The sequence below is a fragment of the Homo sapiens genome, chromosome 4 (genome assembly GCF_000001405.40).
Source record: "Homo sapiens chromosome 4, GRCh38.p14 Primary Assembly".
NCBI lineage: Eukaryota > Metazoa > Chordata > Mammalia > Primates > Hominidae > Homo > Homo sapiens.
In genome coordinates this window covers 56,771,371-56,779,770 of record NC_000004.12, presented here as the reverse complement: position 1 = coordinate 56,779,770, position 8,400 = coordinate 56,771,371, and positions in this window count along the sequence as shown.

Genomic DNA, 8,400 nt, shown 5'->3' with positions numbered 1-8,400 from the left:
CTTGCCTCTCTCCTCTTCACCGCAGGGTTGCATCTCAATTCTGAGTGCTATGTTGATGCATCCTGGTGCGGTCGGGGAGAGACTAGGTGGTGTCAAGAGCTCAATGGCCACATTCTTATATATTTATTTATTTTAATAAATGTTGATTTTAAAATTAGAGATAGGGGTCTTGATATGTTATCTAGGCTGGTCTTGGACTTCTGGCTCAAGTGATCCTCCTGCCTCAGCCTCCCAAAGTGCTGGGATTATAGGCCTGAGCCACCATGCCCGGCCTCAATGGCCACATTTTATCTGACCTTTGGTTGTTCTTCGTCTTTCTCACTGGAATCTCTTGAGATGTTTATTTTCTCATCAGATCTCTGGTCAGAATGTCCAGGGGATTATCTGTTGCCATGTTCCTTCTTCCTAATCCTAAGTCATCTGCTCTCTCAGTTGCCTTCACACATCTCCCAGGGAATGGGAAATATTTGGCTGCTTGTTCACCTGATTAGAAGGATATAGGTAGGGTAGTGGGGCAGTTTCATGTGCTCTTGGCTTCAACATTTATGACCTATGCCCAGCCCATGCTGGATGCAAGAAGCCTATATGAGACTGACTTTTGTTTTATTTTATCTTTTTGGGACAGGGTCTTGTTCTATTGCCCAGGCTGGAGTGCAGTGGCAGATTATGTCTTACTGCAGCTTCCACCTTCTGGGCTCAAGCCATCCTCCTTTCTCAGCCTCCTGAGATTAGCTGAGACTACAGGCACGTGCCACCTGGTCTGGCTAATTGTTTTATTTTTTGTAGGGATGGGATCCTACTATGTTGCCCAGGCTGGTCTCAAACTCCTAACTTCAAGCAATCCTCCCACCTCGGCCTCCCAAAACACTGGGATTGCATGTATGAGCCACGTGCCTGGTGGAGACTGATGTTTAGCAACAGATTCCCTCCACTTTGGAGACCCCAGACAATCTGGAATGTCTTTTATTTCCCCTTGCTCCTCTGTAGACTTGGAATGGTGCAAGATAGGATACTTATTGGAATTATTTCTGTTCCTCCACCCTGTCAGGGGATCTTTATATCCTCTAGAGTGAGGCAAACTTTTTTTTTTTTTGAGACAGAATCTTGCTGTGTTGTCCAGGCTGGAGTGCAGTGGTGCGATCTCAGCTCACTGCAACCTCCGCCTCCTGGGTTCAAGCGATTGTCCTGCCTCAGCCTCCTGAGTAGCTGGGATTACAGGCACCCAAAACCACACCCGCCTTGGCCTCCCAAAGTGCTGGGATTACAAGTGTGAGCCACCATGCCCTACCTAGAGTGGGGCAAACTCTTACATGAGCATGTCTTCTTCCAAACTCATTGATTATAGAAATACTTTACTGCTCTAAATTCTTTGGGATTTTAGCTTCTGATGTTCAAAAGCCAGATTCTTATGCTTGAAAGAAAGGATTTTTAGACTAAATATATTTTCCTTTAGGCTACTGCTTCTGGAATGAGTTTCACAGTCTACATTTTTTTTTTTTTTTTTTTGAGATGGAGTGTCCCTCTTGTCGCCCAGGCTGGAGTGCAATGGTGCAATCTCAGCTCACTGCAACTTCTGCCTCCTGGGTTCAAGTGATTCTCCTGCCTCAGCCTCCTAAGTAGCTGGAATTGCAGGCTCCTGCCACCATGCCCGGCTATCTTTTTGTATTTTTAGTACAGACTGGGTTTCGCCATGTTGGCCAGGCTGGTCTTTAACCCCTGACCTCAGGTGATCCGCCTGCCTTGGCTTCCCAAAGTGCTGGGATTACAGGCATAAGCCACCGCGCTGCGCCCAGCCTCACAGTCTACTTTTAAATAGAAAAACTAAGTAAACTATCCTTTCTTGCCTGCATTTTTTCTCTACCAACCCTATGCTGAGGGCAGTGAACACGGACCATCATCACTACTACTCTGATAGGAGTAGCTAGCGGGAGGTGGCAGCAGATACCAAAACCGAAAGTGTCCGATAGTCTCATTGAGATGCGCTAACACCTCCACTATATGAGCTAAAATTTAGGCTGGGCATGTGGCTCTCTCCTGTAATCCCAGCACTTTGGGAGGCCAAGATGGGTGGATAACCTGAGGTCAGGAGTTCGAGACTAGCCTAGCCAACATGGTGAAACCCCGTCTCTACTGAAAATACAAAAATTGGCCAGGTGTGGTGGCACACGCCTGTAATCCCAGCTACTCGGGAGGCTGAGGCAGGAGAATTGCTTGAACCTGGGAAGTGGAGGTTACAGTAAGCTGAGATTGTGCCACACACTGTAGCCTGGGAGACAGAGTGAGACTCTGTTTCAAAAAAAAAGGAGCTGGGTGTGGTGGTGCGTGCCTGTAATTCCAGCTACTGGAGAGACCGATGCAGGAGGATTGCTTGAGCCTAGGGGTTAGAGACCACCCTGGGCAACATAGTGAGACTCAGTCTCAATTTAAAAAAAGGAAGGAAGTGGGCCAAGGAGGGACCAATAACTGCAAGACTTAAGAAGTATCTAATAGAAGAGAAGCTTACTGGAAAAAGATTGGAAAGTGAGCTGAGAGTTTCCAAGAGTGACATGGAAACTAGGGGGAGAAAAAAAAAAAGATACATTCCCACTCTCTAGGAGCTCACAATCCACTGAACCAGTTAGAACAGGAGGAAAATGTGTCTCAAGTTACAAAGAAGCTATTATCTAAGCCAAAGAGTTAGAAGATATAAAAGTTTCTTTCTGGTTTTTCCACTTTTGCTCAATTCTTTTCCCAAGGCCTGAACTCTCTTTCTATAAAACAAGCAACTAAGACATTAGTTTATTATATATAACAATATAATTATATATAATATGTATAACATAATTAGTAGAGTTATTCTCTTAGATGAATGGAGTTATGTCTATAGGATTCTTTGAAGTCATAGGAAAACAGGGCATTCTCATTTTCTTTTTCATCATTTTTCCATCATCTCTAAAATTAACAGCTTTCAACACTTGCTAACTTTGCTTCAGACTGAAAAACAAAAGTAGATCTTAAATTTCTTGACTGCTAGATATAGCCTCTGAGGGACACATTTCAAATGACTAGTATCATGCAGCTCCTCATATCAAATGCGTTCACGTTATTTTTCTTTCTTTCTTTCTTTTTTTTTTTTTTTTAAGACCAAGTCTCGCTTTCTTGCCCAGGCTGGAGTGCAGTGGCACTATCTCGGCTCACTGCAAGCTCCGCCTCCCGGGTTCAAGCAGTTCTCCTGCCTCAGCCTCCTGAATAGCTGGAATTACAGGTGCCCACCACCACACTCGGCTAATTTTTTGTAGTTTTAGTGGAGACGGGGTTTCACCATGTTAGCCAGGATGGTCTCGATCTCCTGACCTTGTGATCCGCCTGCCTCGGCCTCCCAAAGTGCTGGGATTACAGGTGTGAGCCACTGTGCCTGGTCGTTATTTTTCACACATGAAAATAGACAACCACATTTTGGCAAATACAATGCTAATGCCTACATTTTAAATGTAAGAAATTCACACTATCCTTTTGTTTTTTTAGCCCTGGAGCTTCTAGAATTTATCTATTTTTAGAAAATATTGCTGTGTGTTCAAATGCTTTTCTTGGTACTAATCAAATATTTGGTATATCATTTGCCTGGGTCTATTCAATAATTTAGCAGGTCCGCCTAAGGAAATTTGCACATTGTCCTGAGGCATGGAGCAAGAAACTGACCACCTCGTGAAAAAAATTCCGGGAAGTACTCAGGAACTAGAAAGGAACATATGTGAGTGTAGCTGCCCCACCACCATTTCCCACCCAAGTTTAATATGATATAAGTAGGTATTTATAAAACACTTGTTATCACAACACACTGGTCACTTATTTATGTCAGCTTGTGTCATTTCTGTTATTGAGAAGAGTACTTAGATTTCAAGTGCATTTTATTACTCATAAGTGGTGTTTTTGTAATGGCATCATCACCTGCATTTATGACCACTTATTGATGAGAAACTTCTATTAGGCCTCTCTCTTTGCAGAGATGTCACTATCATTCTTTACATTAGAAACAATTTGGGGCCACAATAACCATCATTACATGGTGCTAAAGTTAGGAAAACAAATCTTCCAATCTTTATGGATGGTGGAAAATAGCTTTATCTTCTTTGAGAGTTTTAAGGGTTTGGTGACCAATTTAACACATCAGGAGAAATAACTTTGTAGACTAAAAAATGCTCTATAATAGTTGCAGCAGTGATAGGACAGCTAGAACTGAGTTCCGAGTGTTTTGAAGAGTATCTGTCCTATAACTGGTACTCACTGAATATTTGTTGAATGAATGAATGGTTGAATGAACAGATACCTATTTTCTCTCTCTCTCTCTCTCTCTCTACATATATATATATATATATATATATATATATATATATATATATATATATATATATATATATATATTTGAAATGGAGTCTCCCTCTGTTGCCCAGGCTGGAGTGCAGTGGCACAATCTTGGCTCCACCTCCTGGGTTCAGGGGACTCTCCTGCCTTAGCCTCCCAAGTTGCTGGGACTACAGGTGCCTGCCACCATGCCCAGCTAATTTTTGTTTTGTTTTGTTTTGAGGTGGAGTCTTACTCTGTTGCCCAGGGTGGAGTGCAATGGTGCGATCTCGGCTCACTGCAACCTCCACCTCTGAGGTTCAAGAGATCCTCCCACCTCAGCCTCCCAAGTAGCTGGGAGTACAGGTGCATGCCACCATGCCCAGCTAATTTTTTTATTTGTAGAAGATACAGGGTTTCACCGTGTTGGTCAGGCTGGTCTCAAACTCCTGACCTTAAGTGATCCACCCACCTAAGCCTCCCAAATATGAGCCACTGTGCCCAGCCTCTTCCTATAGACTTGGTGAGCTGTGAGCCAGAAGTAGAAGCCCATTATGAAGACCAAGATGATGCATCTAATGATAATGAGAAGCAGCTAACTGGCAGAAGACAATTTGACAGCAACATACGATATCCCGTTGCTACTGCACTTGGGTAATTAGGAATTGGCTATACATGTATTTATTTGGACAAGTGGAGATGAAATAATATCCTTTTGCTCTAAGTCGTAAGAACATATTTTAGGTAAGACAGCCATATGGTGTAACCATTGCCCCAGTGACTATTTCCCTTAGGCGGTGGCCAAGATGGGCTTGTCTTATACCAAATGCCATGTTGTAAAGTCAGATTAGAACAAAATTATAATTTAAATTTAGGTGTGCAATATATTGCATTTTACTATGTTTACATTTTATTCCAAACCCATATGGAATATTTTCAAATCTCTTGTCTCTGTGTATGTATTTTCTTATCTTTTTCACCCTTGCAAAACATTTAATGTAACGCGTGCTCTTTCCTAACTACATTTGTTTACTTTAACTATGTCGGCTTGTGTCATTTCTTCATTAGAGGAAGCAAAATTATGTCCACTTGCTTCCTTTAATGGAGAAAGGCTGTGACCCTTGGAGTTATAAGTGGAAGGAAGAAGGAGGTCTCCTATGGCCCTAACTTCAGGGCTAAACTCTCCTGTGAAGGCTTTGAGCTACACTGAGTCTGCTAAGGGGACTAGAAAGTGATGGTACTTGGACTTGAACATTCGTTATAAATGAGTCCTAACATATCTGAAGTATCAAAAGGGAAAAAAATATTTTACAAGTTGATATGGCTTGGCTGTGTCCCCACCCAAAATCTCATCCTGAATTGTAATCCTCATAATCCCCATGATCCCCACATGTCAAGGACAAGACCAGGTGGAGGCCATTAGATCATGAGGGCTGTGTCCCCCATGCTGTTCTCATGATAGTGAGCGAGTCTCTTGAGATCTGATGGTTTTATAAGTGTCTGGCATTTTCCCTGCTTGCACTCACTCTATCCTGCAGCCTTGTGAAGAAGGTATCTGCTTCTCCTTTGCCTTCCACCATGATTGTAAGTTTCCAGAGGCCTCCCCAGCAATGCGGAATTGTGAGTCAATTAAACCCCTTTCCTTTATAAATTACCCAGTCTTAGGTAGTTCTTCATAGCTGTGTGAGAATGGACTAATACACAACTTTAAGCAGATAAGAGATGAGAGGTAGAAAGCTCATCTTTGGGGTAGCCTATCCTTTTTCTCTGTGAATTTCATGTAGGACAACACGCTCTATTTCAGCTATCTATAGTCACCTAATAAGGCACTCCAAATATAGTGGCTGAATAAGGCAGTCAGATGGTGGCATGGCTGGGACCTTCAAGATGGCATGATTCATATGTCTGCAGCCTTGGCAAGGATGACTGGGGGCTGGGACCTCTCTCCATGTGACTGACCTCTCTTTCTATGTGGTCTCTTTGGTAGGGTAGCCTGATGTCTTCCATGCTGCTTCAGGGTTTGGTTTTTGTTTTTGTTTTTTTGAGAGGGAGTCTCACTCTGTCACCCAGGCTGGAGTGCAATGGTGTGATCTCAGCTCACTGCAACCTCTGCCTCCTGGGTTCAAGCTATTCTCCTGACTCAGCCTCCTGAGTAGCTGGAATTACAGGGGCACACCACCAAGCCTAGCTAATTTTTGTATTTTCAGTAGAGACGGGGTTTCACTATATTGGCCAGGCTGGTCTTGACCTCCTGAACTCAGGTGATTCACCCACCTCAGCCTTCCAAAGTGCTGGGATTACAAGCATGAGCCACTGCTCCCGGCCGCTTCAGGGTTTTTAAAAGTACAAAAACAGAAGCTTTCTTTAGGCTTAGGCCTAGAACTAGTATAATGTCATGTCTGCCACGTTCTACTGGATGAGTGAATCATGAGGTTAGCCCAGATTCTGTGTGAGAAGACCACGTAACGATTTAATACCAGGAGATGTGGCTCATTTTGGGCTGTCTTCAGAGACTGGCTACCACACCGTCTAGATTGAATGGGTTTGATATGCATGGTCTAAGGAGCTAAACTATGTAAAGGTATACACAATATATTATTTCTTGTTTTTGGTAAAAGTATACACACATATTACCATGCAAACAGTTACAAGAGATCAAGAAACAAGACCCAAAAATAGCTGGAGGGTTGTCCCTTTCAATTAAAGGAGATTCTAAAAAATAACCTGGATTGGGTTTTCTGTGTTTAACCCGGTGTTAGACTACGATCCTATAAAATACTGAGCTACCTGGATGTCTTGAGAAACTGTTCATCCCAGCTGGGGCAAGGTTAGCCCTGCTGGTCAGGGATGGGCCATTTCTGCTGTCAGTCATCCTGGGATAAGGTAGGTCCTGAAATGCGAAATGAGGCTGTTGGAAGGAGGCCTTATGCTGGCATGAGTGGGCAAATCCTTCCTCTCCTCGGGCCTGGACCCTTAGAAGAGAAGATGTACACAAAGACTCACCCATGAGGTTAGGGAAGAAGTGAAGTTCAGTGCCTTTGCTACATACCTAAAGGCATGATTCAGTGCCTTTACTACAGGCTGAGGTTTAAGCAAAGCTGTGTTCCACAAGGGATTGCTGTGGGAAGTCATAGACCTGTGAAGTTTCTAGGTCTGTGTTACAATTCCCTTATGTTAACCAGAAGCTTCTAAAGAATCTCTGTGAAACATCACAGCCCAGTTTTAGTTAGTACTGTGGAAATAAGGGGAAGGTTTGTGTCTGGTTGGAATGAAGCAGTACAGGGGACAGCAGCAGCCCCCAGAGGGACGGTATTTTATAATAGAAACCTCTAGGGCAGGCCAGGCACGGTAGCTCATGCCTGTAATCCCAGCACTTTGGGAGGCTGAGGCGGGTGGATCACTTGAGGTCAAGAGTTCAAGACCAGCCTGGCAAACATAGCGAAACCCTTGTGTCTACTAAAAATACAAAAATTAGCCTGGCGTGGCGGTGGGCGCCTATAATCCCAGCTACTAGGGAAGCTGAGGCAGGAGACTTGCTTGAACCCAGGAGGTGGAGGTTGCAGTGAGCCGAGATTGCACCACCGCACTCCAGCCTGTGCAACAGAGCAAGACTCTGCTTCAAAACAAAAAACAAAACAAAACAAAAAGAAACCTCCAGGGCAGGGTTATGACAGAGCACACGGTGGTCCAGGGTGGCTTAAGATGGATTGATCATTGCTGACCACGCAGGGGGCAACTGGGATGGATTTCAGATACAAGTTAGCATTTTCCAGGGATTTCCAGTGACAAAGCAAGCTAACTGAGGGCTTAAGCTAATAGAATTTGGCAATGAGAGGGAAATGTAGCATTATTTGTCATCTCTGGTGGGAAAGGCCTAGGCCTGTACCTTTGGTTTACAGTATACATAAGATATATATCCTGCCAAAGAATGATTACTGTAGGTAAATATGACAAGAATTCTCTCTCTCTTTTTTTTTTTTAGAGACTGTGTCTCGCTCTGTCACCCAGGCTGGAGTTCAGTGGTGCCATCATAGCTCACTGCAGCCCTGAACTCCTAAGACGAAGCAATCCTCCCGGCTC